This window comes from Homo sapiens, chromosome X, assembly GCF_000001405.40.
Source record: "Homo sapiens chromosome X, GRCh38.p14 Primary Assembly".
Taxonomy (NCBI): Eukaryota; Metazoa; Chordata; class Mammalia; order Primates; family Hominidae; genus Homo; species Homo sapiens.
The window spans coordinates 36,949,589-36,964,122 of record NC_000023.11 but is presented as its reverse complement, the minus strand read 5'-3'; the positions used below and the strand labels follow the sequence as shown (position 1 = coordinate 36,964,122).

At 42.6% G+C, this 14,534-nt stretch overlaps 1 pseudogene, besides 3 other annotated features; it reads left to right on the top strand.

Moving 5' to 3' along the window:
* Positions 364-864: an enhancer, noted in NCBI's record as "H3K27ac hESC enhancer chrX:36981332-36981832 (GRCh37/hg19 assembly coordinates)". NCBI's record gives its function as "activates a minimal SCP1, AML or CMV promoter by ChIP-STARR-seq in naive H9 embryonic stem cells {active_cell/tissue: H9 hESC(naive)}" and the evidence as "EXISTENCE:reporter gene assay evidence [ECO:0000049][PMID:30033119]".
* Positions 565-3,122, top strand: TFDP1P2 (TFDP1 pseudogene 2; annotated as a pseudogene).
* Positions 1,059-1,559: an enhancer, noted in NCBI's record as "H3K4me1 hESC enhancer chrX:36980637-36981137 (GRCh37/hg19 assembly coordinates)". NCBI's record gives its function as "activates a minimal SCP1, AML or CMV promoter by ChIP-STARR-seq in naive H9 embryonic stem cells {active_cell/tissue: H9 hESC(naive)}" and the evidence as "EXISTENCE:reporter gene assay evidence [ECO:0000049][PMID:30033119]".
* Positions 12,971-13,838: an enhancer, noted in NCBI's record as "OCT4-NANOG hESC enhancer chrX:36968358-36969225 (GRCh37/hg19 assembly coordinates)". NCBI's record gives its function as "activates a minimal SCP1, AML or CMV promoter by ChIP-STARR-seq in naive and primed H9 embryonic stem cells {active_cell/tissue: H9 hESC(naive and primed)}" and the evidence as "EXISTENCE:reporter gene assay evidence [ECO:0000049][PMID:30033119]".

Genomic DNA, 14,534 nt, shown 5'->3' with positions numbered 1-14,534 from the left:
CGGCGCTGCTCGGCCCAGGGCAGGGACCCCGCCGCGGCCTGGACCGCCCGGCCCGGCCCCCGCACCGCGCCCTCTCCGCGCCCCCACCCACGCGGCCGGATCGGGTAGCCAGGTGCGGGCGGGCAGGGGATGCCGCGGGAGCCGCGGGCGGGGGCCTGGGGCGCGGGCGGGACCCCTGGCCACCCTATCCCGTGCCCCGGCCGCTTGTAGGCGCCGCGCGGCCCCGACCCGCGCTTTCCCGCGCCCAGCGCGCCCCTGTGCCTCGGGGACCCCGCGCGCTCGGCGCTGGTGGGGGCTCCCCAGGTAATCGTGGGGCGGGGGTCCCGGGCCCGGCCCTCCCGGTCGACAGCAGCGCCCGCGGCCCGCGGCGGAGGTGGGGCCGGGGCCAGGGTCGGCTGGAGCGCGCAGGGCGGGGGAGGGGAGGCCGCCCCACGGCGGCCCGCGGGGACCCGGTTCCGGCGCGCGCGGGAGGCGCCTAGTGCGGAGGCGGCCCGAGGCCTAGTGACAGGCGCGCGGCGAGGACCCCGGAAGCCCACCTGTCAGAGTTACCGGTCTGCCGGGCGGGCGCCGCCAGTGTCCGGGGTGGACGCCGCGAGCCTGCACGTTGCGCCAGGACCCCGGGGCTGCGCCCAGAAAAATCATTTTTCTTCTCTGGGAAGGTGAACATTTGTAGCATTGATTTTCCGGATCTGGTAACATGGCAAAAGATGCCGGTCTAATTGAAGCCAACGGAGAACTCAAGGTCTTCATAGACCAGAACCTTAGTTCCGGAAAAGGCGTGGTGTCCCTCGTGGCCGTTCACCCCTCCACCGTCAACCCGCTCGGGAAACAGCTCTTGCCAAAAACCTTTGGACAGTCCAATGTCAGCATTGCCCAGCAAGTGGTGATTGGTATGCCTCAGAGACCTGCAGCGTCAAACACCCTGGTGGTAGGAAGCTCACACACCCCCAGCACTCACTTTGCCTCTCAGAACCAGCCTTCTGACTCCTCACCTCGGTCTGCAGGGAAGCGCAACAGGAAAGGAGAGAATTGCAAGGGCCTGCGGCATTTCTCCATGAAGGTCTGCGAGAAGGTGCAGAGGAAAGGGACCACTTCCTACAACGAAGTGGCGGACGAGCTGGTAGCAGAGTTCAGTGCTGCCGACAACCACATCTTACCAAACGAGTCAGCTTATGACCAGAAGAACATAAGACGGCGCGTCTATGATGCCTTAAACGTGCTGATGGCCATGAACATCATCTCCAAGGAGAAGAAGGAGATTAAGTGGATTGGTCTGCCCACCAACTCGGCTCAGGAATGTCAGAACTTAGAGGTGGAAAGACAGAGGAGACTTGAAAGAATAAAACAGAAACAGTCTCAACTTCGAGAACTTATTCTACAGCAAATTGCCTTCAAGAACCTGGTGCAGAGAAACCGGCACGCAGAGCAGCAGGCCAGCCGGCCGCCACCACCCAACTCGGTCATCCACCTGCCCTTCATCGTCGTCAACACCAGCAAGAAGACCGTCATCGACTGCAGCATCTCCAACGACAAACTCGAGTATCTGTTTAATTTTGACAACACATTTGAAATCCAAGGTGACATAGAAGTGCTGAAGCGGATGGGCATGGCTTGCTGGCTGGAGTCTGGGAGCTGCTCTGCTGAAGACCTTAAAATGGCCAGAAGTCTAGTCCCAAAGGCGCTGGAGCCGTATGTGACAGAAATGGCTCAGGGAACTGTTGGAGGCGTGTTCATCACGGCGGCAGGTTCCACGTCTAAAGGCACGAGGTTCTCTGCCAGTGACCTGACCAACGGTGCAGATGGGATGCTGGCCACAAGCTCCAAGAGGTCTCAGTACAGCGGCTCCAGGGTGGAGACCCCGGTGTCCTACGTCGGGGAGGACGACGAGGAGGATGATGACTTCAACGAGAATGACAAGGACGACTGACGTCCTCCCCACTTCAAATTCAGCTTCAGGAAAACATTTAGGGAAAAGAAACTTTTTTTTTAATGTAGGTTTTCTGTTTCCTTTTGTCCTACTCCCAAGAAGATATTGGTAAGCTATTTAATTTAGATATGCACCTCTGATAAGCAAGGATTGTTTCCTGTAGGATTAGGACGTGCTGTGGATGTGTGTTTTGATACCAGTGTGCTGATGCAGAGCGTTTATTTACTTTTTAGTATTTTGTGCTTTCATTTTTTATTTTTCTTTTAAGTGCAGAGTTCATTTTTGCCCCTGAACAGTTTTTGCTGAGTTTGCTGAAGAAATTGTATTTCATCCACATGCATGAAAATAAAACGCCCTCTTGTTGTGGATGGTGAGCACCTGATGCCGTTTATTTGCCGTGAGTTTGGACGGCGCCCCCACTGGCAGATAGCGAGACTCTGTGGAGTTTTCCATTTGTTCAGTGGTACGGTGTCCAGAGCCCCAAGCAAACAGCAGAATTCGACATTTTAAACAATAAACACCATCAACCTTATTAACTTTATTTTCTCTTAAATTATATTGACTGTCGTGATTCCATCAAGTTTATACACTCTTTTCTCTCCCTATTTTGCAGCAACAAATTGCAAAGTGCTTTTGTTTGTTTGTTTGTTTTTGTTTGGTTAAAGCTTACTGCCACGCTGGTGTGGCTATGGAGACTGTTTGGAAGGCTTGGAATGGTTTATTGCTTATGGTAAAATTTGCCTGATTTCTTACAGGCAGCGTTTGGAAACCTTTTATTATATAGTTGTTTACATACTTATCAGTCTATCATTTAAAGACATATACTGAAACAAATGTATTTGTTTCATAAGCATCTTCCTGTAATCTATTATAAAATTGAAATTAAATATAAAGAATGTTTTAACAATTTTTTAACTCAAAATTTGTCAATCATTTTTAATAGTTCTTTTTTTTTTAATAAAAAGAACAAGGAATTTAAGGACAGGCAGTAGTCTCTTTTAAAATTTATTCACAAAACCCATTAACTGCACAGTTGCTATTAGCTGCCTGTTCTAAAGCGAAAGTCTTTTTATTGAAACACAAATAAACTTTTCTGTAATATTTTATGGAATATAAAGAAACTTTAATTGTTTGACTTGTTTAACTTGGCACTGTTAGTTTTTATTAATAAAATACGCATGGGCATTTTAAACAAAAACAAACAAACAAAAATTACCCTGTTAGGAACTCTGAAATATGCTTTTAACTAATAATATTATGTTGGTTGGAGAGCTAGGCTCACTTTCCTGTGTGCTGTACTGTCTTTGAGAGCCCCATTTCCATAGGACGCTGCTGAGCTAGGATTTATCTCCTTGGCCAGGGGGAAGGATTTGATTCACACAGTTTTGTTCTAGAAGGTTATAGATAACATCATTGCTTTGCCTAATGAGAGACAAAGTATGGAGGAAGTTAATAGATGCTGATAGTATTTTAAAAGGTTTTACTTCTCATACAAAAGAAAAGACATATCTGGACTTCCCTTCCCACTCTGAGAGAATACTCTTCTTCACCATTTTTTTTTTTTTTTTTGAGACAAAGTCTCGCTCTTGTCCTGCAGGCTGGAGTGCGATGGCATGATCTTGGCTCACTGCAACCTCCGCCTCCCGGGTTCAAGTGATTCTCCTGCCTCAGCCTCCCGAGTAGCTGGGATTACAGGCACCTGCCACCACGCCCGGCTAATTTTTGTATTTTTAGTAGAGACAGGGTTTCACCATGTTGGCCAGGCTGGTCCCGAACTCCTGTCCTCAGGTGATCCACATGCCTTGGCCTCCCAAAGTGTTGGGATTACAGGCATGAGCCACTGCACCTGGCTCACCATTCTTTACTCTAGACTACATGCTATTCAAAGAGAGCATGGATAGGAAAGCACAAGGTGGGGGTGAAAATTCCATAGAACTGCTCCACAGCTGGAAATTGCATTACCAGAGGTAGCCATTATATAAAGATCCAGTCCAGGGCAGCACAAAAATAACACTAGATGCTACACAAGTGATGTCACATATGCTAGAAGACAAATACATCTTGTGTCTCACTCTAATAGGGAGGGCTTCACACAATTTTCTGTGAGTGTGTGGTTGAACATGCATATATGTGTGTGTTTTAATATACTGGCTTTGTCTTAAAGTATTCATCTTCCTAGACCAATCATGAGCTATTATATACTCTAAATAGAATAAAGTATTATTTGCAAATGTCATCTAAATGTTATTGAAAGCGTTCACTATGTATATCAAATATCATGGAATGTTTACAGTCCAATATGGCTCATATGTTTAAAACATAAAATCTGTTTTTTCACACTGTATGTTTTCAAAAAATATAAATTTTAGATAATCTAACGGTTTTCACACACTTAATAACTTTTCATCCTACTTTATCATTCTCCTTTACAGAAAAGGCAAGCACTTGTTTGAATTCATTGTGCTAAAAGTACTTTATACCAGGGAAAAATATTTTTAATTAAAAATTTAAATGCTTTAAAACTTACAGAAAATTTGCAAGAATAGTACAAAAATAGTACAAGAAAAGTCCTTTACCCATATTCATCAATTTGTAACATTGTCTCATTTATCATTTTTTCTCTCTACCATATATACATATTTTCTACCATTTGAGAGTAAGCTGCATATGTTGTGACCCTGTACCCCTAAATATTTCAGTGTGTATTGACTAAAAAAAGGAATATATATATACTTATAAATATATATATAAATATATATAAATATATATAAAAATATATATAAATATATATATAAATATATATATATATATTTTTTTTTTGAGACAGAGTCTGGCTCTGTTGCCCAGGCTGGAGTGCAATGGTGATCTCAGCTCACTGCAAACTCCGCCTCCCGGGTTCAAGGGATTCTCCCAGCCTCAGCCTCCTGAGTAGCTGGGATTACAGGCGCCCAACACCACACCTGGCTATTTTTTGTATTTTTAGTAGAGACAGGGTTTCGCCATGTTGGCCAGGCTGGCCTTGATCTCCTGACCTCAGGTGATCTGCCTGCCTCGGCCTCCCAAAGTGCTGGGATTACAGGCATGAGCCACCGCGCCTGGCCAGAAAACACATTATTTTATTTAACCACTGTCAATGAGCAAATCAGGAAATTTAACATTAATACAATATTATCTAATTATACAATAACTATCCCTATTTAAACTGAACAATCATTCCAATAATGTCTTTATACCATTTTGTTTCCACTCCAAACTCCAATGTCAGACAACTCTGTCCTGGGATCTCCCACAGTGGGGATCCATTGGCAGCTTTTAGTACTGGCCGAATAAGCAATAAAGTCCTAGGCCATCTGTGAGCAGCTCTTGCAAAGGAGAAATAAATAAAGGTCTGGCTGGAGAGGAGAGGTACTTTGAACTGGGGAGATGGGAGGGCAACTCACAACCAAAGACCACAAAGGAAAGTAAGCCCCTCCCTCTCCCAACTCTTCCTATCTCCCAAAAGTTTAAGGAAATAAAATCCCAATCTGAGTTAATTGGTGAAAATCCAGATAAGATGGAGTGGAACAGGCAGAAATGTGAACACTGAGAGGTAAACCTAGGCAAATTCGTCCTCGAGAGAGGAGGGAAAAAAGAGTGGGGAAGACCAACAGAGAACCCCCGCAGCATCTCGGTGGAGTTGGGGCGTTTTTGCCTGCTTCTTTTTTAACTGGGGTGTGGAAGGCGTCGCATTTTTTACACAGCCACATGGCTCTCGCCTCAAATGATAACAAATACCCAAAATAGCGTTACGTGTTACTGCAGAATAGGAGGAATGGCCACAGGGGAGGGAGAGGACGTGGGCTGTCGCTTTAGGTTTGGCGGCCAGGGATGGGGAGGGAAGAGGGGTGGACGCCAGGGAGGTGGTTGGAGCCTCAGGATCCGAGAAGGGCCTGGACGCGGTGGGACGGGCCAGGGCAGGGGACGCGGAGAGGTGGGGACAGGTGGTGACTCTCCTGGCAGTAGGGCGCAAGGCAGTCCGGGGCGGGAGGCAGGGGTCGCGGTGCGCCGGGCCCTCACCGCTGCTGAGCGTGGACTCGCAGTGCCAGATGTCCAAGCTGGCGGGTTTCCGGCAGGACTCCCACAACGACAGGTAGTACTGGTGGTCAGCTGTGATCCAGGCCGGGCTCAGCACCGCCCCCAGATCCAGATACAGCGTCAGGAAGATGCACAACAGCCCGACCAGCTTCAAGGGGAGTCAACACCGACACGCGCACCTCCTCCATGCCGCTGCCCGCCGAAGCCATTCCTGGATGCCGCTGCCGCCCGAGGACGCCAGGCGGGTCCGGGGAGCCAGGAGTCCGACCTCCCGAGGGGAGAAGCCACCGAGCCCCCACGCACTGGGACTCGCTCCCTCGGGGCTCTGCGCGCCCCCTGCCGCGCGACCAAGGTGGGTCTGCGGAGGCCGCCGGCCGGGTGGGGGTCGTCCGCAGCCGCAGCGACGTCGATTCCACCCCTGACCTTCGCCGCCGGCCCCGCGCCCGCTCCGCCCCGCTCGACAGGGCTGGCTCCGTCCCAGCCCCTCCCCAGGCTGCGGGAGGTGGTGCCGAACAGGGAGGGGCGGAGGGCCAGCACCCGGTGACTTCGGCTCCTGCTCCCAGGGCCCGAGGCTCGCGCGGATCCCGCCCCTACCGCGGCCCTGGCCCGCGGAGGGAGCCCGGTGCCAGCCCGCGCCCCCGACTGGCGGCGCGCGGCAGTTCCTTGAAGACGCTAGGTACCCAGCAGCGCTGGCTCCAAGTCACCTAGCTTTCTCCTCCTTGCCCCGTCAGGAGCATTTCCGTTTTCATTGTATTAATTTTAGGTGAGCAGCAAGATGTTTTGATGTACATATCCATAGTGAAATAATTACCACAGGTAAACAATTTTACGTATCCATCACCATCCATCCATATTTACCTTTGTTTGTGATAAGAGCATCTAAAATAAACTCTTAGTAAAATTTCAGTATACAATATTGCTAAGTATAGTCCTCCTGCTGTGCATTAGATCTCAGACTTATTTATTTAACCCAAGTAACTGTAAGTTGTACCTTTGACCTACACATCCCCATTTCCTCCTTGCGCTAAGTATTTGACTCTTTTTTTTTTTTTAAAAAAAGATTCCACATACAAGATCAGGCAGTATTTTTCTTCTTGTGTCTGTCTTATTTCACTTGGCAAAATGTCTTCCATCTTTATCCATGTTGTTACAAATGGCAGTATCTTTTATTTTAAGGTTAATATTCCATTATATATCTACCACAATTTATCCATTCAACTGCCCACTCACACTACACTCAGGTTGTTCCCATATCTTGGCTACTGTGAATAATGCTCATCATGGGAGCACAGACACCTTTTGAGTATACACACAGAAGAGGGATTTCTGGATCTTAAGGTAGTTATATTTTTAAGTTTTTGAGGAACCTCCATACTGTTTTCCATAATAGCGATACCAATTTAGATTCTCATCAAGAGTGTACAACAGTTCCCTCTTCTCCACACCCTTGAAAACCCTTGTTATCTCTTGACTTTTTGATAATATCCATCCTAACAGGTATGAGATGATATTTAATTGTGCTTTTGATTCACATTTATCTGATGATTAATAAAGTTGAGCATCTTTTCATACAGTTATTGGCCATTTTTATGCCTTCTTTGGAAAAAGTCTATTCAGGTCCTTTGCCCATTCTTTAATTATATTATGATTTTGCTACATAATTTTGTGAGTTCTGAAGGGGCTAAAAGGAAAAATGTCTCCTTTGACCTCTGAAGGTTCACTGAAAATTAACTGACAAAAAGCAGATTAATAGGAGAAAAGACATAGAAAATTTATTAATATGCACATGTGTGCATGGGACTCATACAAAATATGAAAATCTCAAAGACAGGGCCAGATAGTTGACATTTTTATACCATCTTGAGGTAACAGAAGAATAGGGGCTTAAAGCATGGCAAGACCATGCTTCAAGATTATGGGAGGGAGAGAGAAATAAAGGCAAGGGGTAAAGGCAATCTTGTCATGTAGATGAAATCTCAAAGGCAACAGCTCTCAGAAAGAATAGGTAGCAGCTTGTGGTTGAGTTAATTATTTCCAGATCTGGATAAGGGGTAGGGCCTCAAAGAAAGCCTGGCTATTTATTTTGCTAATGTAGCAATGCATATATACTCCACAAATGACAGCTTTTCAGAGCTATTCCTGTCTGCAGGTCCTCTGAATAGGCACATTTGCCTGAATTTCAAAATATGCCAAAAAAGTATATTTTGAGGAAAATAGTTTTAGTTTCCTTTTAGTTGCTTATATATTTGGGATATTAACCCCTTATTAGATATATGGTTCACAAATAATTTCTCTCAATCTATTAGCTGCCTTTTCAATTTGTTAATGGTTTTATTTGCTGTGGAGAAGCTTTTTAGTTTGATATAGTCCTAGTTATTTATTTTTGCTTTTGCCTGTGCTTTTGGTGTGATATCCAAAAAGTCACTACCAAGGCCAATATCAAATAGCTTCCCCATCCTCTTTATTTTAAAGAGTTTTACATTTCAGGTCTTATATTTAGGTATTTAATCCATTTTGAGTTGATTTTTGTGTATGGTGTAGGATAAGAGACCAGTTTCATTGTTCTTTGTGTGGATATCCAGTTTTCCCAGCACCATTTATTGGAGAGACTACTCTTTCCACCTTGTGTCTTCTTAGTGGCCTTGTAGAAAATTACTTGACCATATGTACTGTTAAAAGAAAAACTGTAGCTGAATTAAATTTAAGAGTTTAATTGAGCAAAGAATGATTTACAAATCAGGCAGCCTCCTGAGCCAGAGAAGACTCAGAGACTCCAGTGCAGCCACATGGTAGAAGAAGATTTATGGACAGAAAAAGGAAAAGACATACAGAAAATGGAAGTGAGGTACAGAAACAGCGGGGTTAGTTACAGTTTGGCATTTGCCTTGTTTGAACATGGTTTGAACAGTTGGCCATCGTTGATTGGCCAAAACTCAGTGATTGGCACAAGAGCAGGCTACAGTCTATATATAACTCCATTTAGGTTATAGTTCATGATGTACAGAGAAACCTTTAGGCTGAACTTAGAATATATAAGGAGGTAGCTTTAGGCACTTGATTTAACAATTCCCCCATTTTTTCATCCTCTCAATTGTGAGAGATTTACCAAAACTTTAGTCATTGATGTCACTATCACCATAGTAAATGTACTTACTTGGTTTTGAAACCCACTGGGAAATAGCAGAACTGCGGGTTTTGTAAGGTGGAAACAAGGTCTTAACGTTATTACTATTATTATTTTTGTAAGGTTTGGAGTAGAGAATACCTTCTTATGCTGCAGGAGAGAAACAAAACATGGTCTGTTCTAAAAATCTTCTGTGTTTCCTTAAAGTCTTAGTTTGATTATGTCACATTTAGCATAAATGACTCCATTTTGGTTTGGTCTGGTCTGTTGGGGCAAACAATGGGCTCCCATAATTTGTTTTAAAATTCCCCCCTTTTGGTCAGATTCTCATGGTGAGAGTGTGACCAAAACTTAGGGCCTTAGTGCCACTCTCAGTTACCATCATTTTGGATTTCTGGTCTCAGCATGTCATTCGTGGGTTACAGTGACTTTTTGGTCACATATTTCTTTCAGCTCTTGTCGCTCCAGTTAAAGAGAGACCATCTGACATTTTAGAGATGGCTGCATGGAAGTATTTAAAACTTTTGAGAGAATACAGTGTACCAGGGAGACTACTATTAAGACTATCAGGAGAATAACACCAAGAGTTTGGAGTCTGCTCCTTAGCCAGGTTCCCCATAAACCAAACCAACTAAAATCAAATAGACCAAAGAATGAGCTAGATGAAGAGTCTACCCACTTTAAGCAGTCTCTTCATTAATACCATATAACTGAATCTCTGTAATACTGGATGTGATGTATTTCTTCATGGGCAACAAGAATTGCCAGCATTGCATAGATACATCTGTTTAGCCGGTTACTAATCCAGAGCAATTCTATTATTCAGCATAACTTTCACAGGAGACTTTACAGTCTGTTATGTAACCAGAGCCTCTACAGTAGAATCTGCTATAAAGCATATCATGAGGAATAAATTTCTAATCATTACCTCATTTACTCTAAACCATGGGAAAAAGGACTTAACAAACAATGCCCTTCAGAAGAGTGAAGACCTCCTGGCAGTGTTCTTTTTAGCCTATGATATTGGCTAAGAGGAGTGGACCAGTTTTCTGTTTCTGACTGACTGTGAGGCAAGGTATGTACCATTAACATTTCTCAAGTACATTAGGCCTTCATCTTCCATCTATCAAGGCATAAGGTTATCCATATATAAGGCTGGCTGCAAAATTTTTCACAAATAAACTATACCCCATGAGTGCACACAATAGACCCCCCCTTTCACTTCTATCATTCATAGAGGCATAAGCAAGGGAAAAATATTCAAAGATAAGAGTCTCATGATAGTAGAGAAGTCTTTATCTGTGATGTTGGGATAAAGCTGTCTACATCAAGGATGCCACCTTCTTCTGAGGAGAAGCTTCCCTGGTTAGCTTTACCTTAAGGTTTCCAATGTGTTTATAGTTCCAAGAGTAAGGAGGGACCCCTCTAAGTCGTGAGATTATGAACCCAAGGTTCAAGGTCCAGAAGTTTTGCTGCAGTGTGGATGGCAAGGGTAGTCTTTCAATGATATTCTTAGAAGGTCTAATCTTCATGTTCTATATTGTGAAGAGGTTAATTGCTCTCAGTCAGTGAACCATTAAAATCTTTCTTTACCTGGTGAAGAGACACTTTGGTATAATGAGCTACTGTTATAACATTAGCCTTCTTGCATGAGAACGTTTTGTACAACCAGAAAACATGCACTGAAAATGACAATTGAATGAAATCCCTTTAGAAGTGTTTAAATAGCCCATCAGATAGTAGAATGTACCTGAAATTTTTATTTGTCTTCCCAAGAATATGGGTTTGACAAACCAAACATTGGTCATAAACTATTTTAGCAACTTAGAAGTCATCATACCAATATATATATTTAATTTGGATTTAGAACTTTTAATAACCATAGCTTTAAGGACTTAAGAAGGACAAGATAGCCATCCTGGTTTTCCATGAGTCTATGCTTAACAATAGACTTGTGTCTTCTTGAATAACAGTTGTTTCTCCAATTTAGGTGCATAGCACTGATAACTGATGGGTTATCATAGGTAATTTTACTTAGACTATGGAGTTCATTCAAATTGTATATCTAAACATTTTCAATACTGGCAGATTTAGCATGGAAACCTGCAAAATATTTTCTTGATATTAATTTTTGTTCTGCTTGGGTGAGCAGTTTTATATACTAGTCAGTCTCTTCATTAAAGTTCTGGGAATTCTTACCCAGTCCAAATGATATGATTCTAAAGTGATTAGAAACCTGTACTAAGGAGTGCTTCTCAGGGTCCTTTCCATCCTTTCCTGAACCTCCTTAAAGACATCGTATTCTTGGATGTTGCATGCTTGTGAAGTTTTCAGAAACTGCATCAGAATCAAGCAGTTAACTATGGAAATGGCTTTAAATAGTCACAGTTAAAGACACAATTGACAAGGAAATGTGGTTATTTCTGTGGTCTACAGTAACTTACCCATAATTATGATTGATAGCATATACTCAGACATATTAGAATTTTAGGAATTCCATACAATTTTTGAACATATATTAATAACATTCATTAAAATATAGGCTGAAGAAAGTTAAACATTATTTCTTATTTGGCAATGCTTTGCATGTAACTTAACATGTCAAATAATCCTGTTTACCTCTCTTTTGGATGCTTCAAGGGCCCTCTGTAGCATCCCAAAGTTAGAGGTCAAAAAAGACTTATTTTTGAAGTAGAAATTTGATTTTGGTATTGGTTACAGCTCAGGGTTTGCCTTATTTGAATATGATTTGAACAGTTGGCCACAGTTGATTGGCCAAAACTCAGTGATTGGCACAAGAGTAGGCTACAGTCTATGTACAACCCATTTAAGTTATACTTCATGATGTACAGAGAAACTTTTAGGCTGACCTTAAAATATGTAAGGAGGCTGCTTTAGGCTAAATTTGATTTAATAATACTTGGTTTTATAGAAAGAAACTTCTAATATTTGTACATGTAAAAGAAAATAAAATTTCAGGACTCCCTAAATTAATTATGCCAAGAGGGAATGCTTTTCATTCACCCGACCTTGTTGCAGCTGATGGGGGTCTCTGTCAAAGCTCCTCTCAGGTTTTCAGTTGCCCTGATTTCAGTTTGAGATTGAAACTTTATTCAAGCAACCCAATTCCATGCTCAATGGAGCTGGAATTGATGCTCTGATTTTAAGGTAGGAGTTTCCTCAAGAGGAGTCCTTTGAGAAAACTCCTACTTTAAAGCAGAGCTTTAATTCTATGGATTCTGTGGACTGCATATTTGTCGTTTTCATTTTTCTCTGCAGTAAAGGTTTTGTTTGTCTTATTTCTTAGGGTTTGAAACCTTTTCACTCACTTGAAATTTGGTCAAGGAGAAAACAGGTTTTCTTTGAAGAGAGAAAATGAAATTTTTGTGGCTTAAATGAAAAATTTGTAATCTTTAAAACTGGCCAGATTCTGAAGCTTGGCTCAGTGGTCAAATCTGCACTTTCATCTGGAGTAACCAAAATTCCTCCCACTAGATCTTTTTGGTCATTCAAAGGGAAAATCTAATTTGCATTTGTACTTCTAAAGGAGACATCCAACTTTAGAAACTTCAGGTGAATTCATGTACAATACTTATGGTGCCACCTCCTGTCAATATCTAGAAAAATGGTTTTAAAGCACAAAGACCCCTAACTACAACAGCCTAAATAGGATATCTTTGAAACATTTAAAATAGTTTATCTGCATGCTCTAATAATAAAAATAAAGCTGGCTTTAAAATAAAACCAAAATAACTGGGAGAGCAATTTTTCAATGTTACTTAGAAGCTTCTAAAAGAGTTTTTGATAAAGAAGTTTCTTTGCAAGAGGAAATCAAGATTGTCTAAAGTTATTTCAAATGAAAAAAGACTTCGGAGACTTTCTCCATTTTGCCTCCAACTGCTCCTCCTCCTTGTACCCCTGTCATTTGAATTCATCCCTTTCTGCTTGTTCCCTCAGCTCCCATAAGCTCTTCGGCAGAGATTTTTGAAATTCCACAATGCAAACTTTTTTTTCTCTCAAAAGAGGGTAAACGTCTTTAAATTTGGAGGAGAGAAAACAAATGGAACAACTACAGAATGAGAAGAAAACTACTGAGATTATAAAATACAGATCCAACAAAGTTTTTCTTCTAAACCATAACTAATAAATGACATGGATGATTTATTGACCCAATATCAGAGAATACCCTTTAAATGTCCTGCTGGACTTCACAGTCCTTTGGAGATGTAAATCTGATCCTGTCTTTGAAATGGTAACATCTAGGTAATTAGCTAAACAACCTTCCAATTGAGCTCACCCCTGAAACAAGTTAAAATCCTTTAAAATGCTTAAACTGCCTGCTTCTATTCCCTGCAGCATTGACAAAAGAGCACCTCGCCCTGTGGCCTAGTGGCTAAGATTCTGTGCTTTCTGGACTGGGGCCCAGGTTCCATTCTCTTTCAGATTAAACCAAACCCAGAACAATGACAACAACAAATACTGGCAAGGATGTGCAGCAACAAGAGCTCTTGTTTTTTTGCTGATGGTAATGCAAAGTAGTACATCCAATTTTGAAGACACTTCGGCAGTTCCTTACAAAACTAAACATACTCCTACCATATGATCCAGCAATGACTCTCCTTGGTGTTTACACAAATAAGTTGAAAACTTATGTCCACACAAAAACTGGCAGTTGAATGTTTATAGCTTTATTCATAATTGGCAAAACTTGGAAGCAACCAAGATATCCTTCAGAAGGTGGATGGTTAAATGAATTGGTACATCCTGACAATGGACTATTTATTATCCAGTGCTATCAAAAAATGCGCTATCAAGCCATGAAAATACACAGAGGAAACTTAAATGCATATTACTAAGTGAAAGCCAATTCTGAGAAGCTACATACTGAATGATTCCAACTTTATGACATTCTGGAAAAGGCAAAACTATGGAGATTGTAAAAGTTTCATTGGCTGCCAGGGGTTGGGATTGGGGAGGGATGAATAGGTGGAACACAGAGGAGTTTTTTTAGGGCAGTGAAACTACTTTGTATGGTACTATAATGATGGATACATGTCATTCATTAAACATTTTCCCAAACCCATAAAATGTACAACACTGTATTAGTCTGTTTTTGTTGCTATAATGGATACCTGAGACTGAGTAATTTATAAAGAAAAGAGGTTTATTTGGCCTATGGTTTTTATGCTCTACCCAAAACATAGTATGGGCATCTGCTTCTGGTGAGGGATTCAGAAAGCTTACAGTCATGGTGGAAGGTGAAAGGGAGCCAGCGCATCATATGGTGAGAGAGGGAGTGAGAGAAGTGCAGAGGTGCTAAAGCTGTTTTAAACAACCAGATCTCTTGCGAATTCATTACTGCGGGGGGGCGGGGGGGGGGCGGGGGCGGATACCAAGCCATTCATGAGA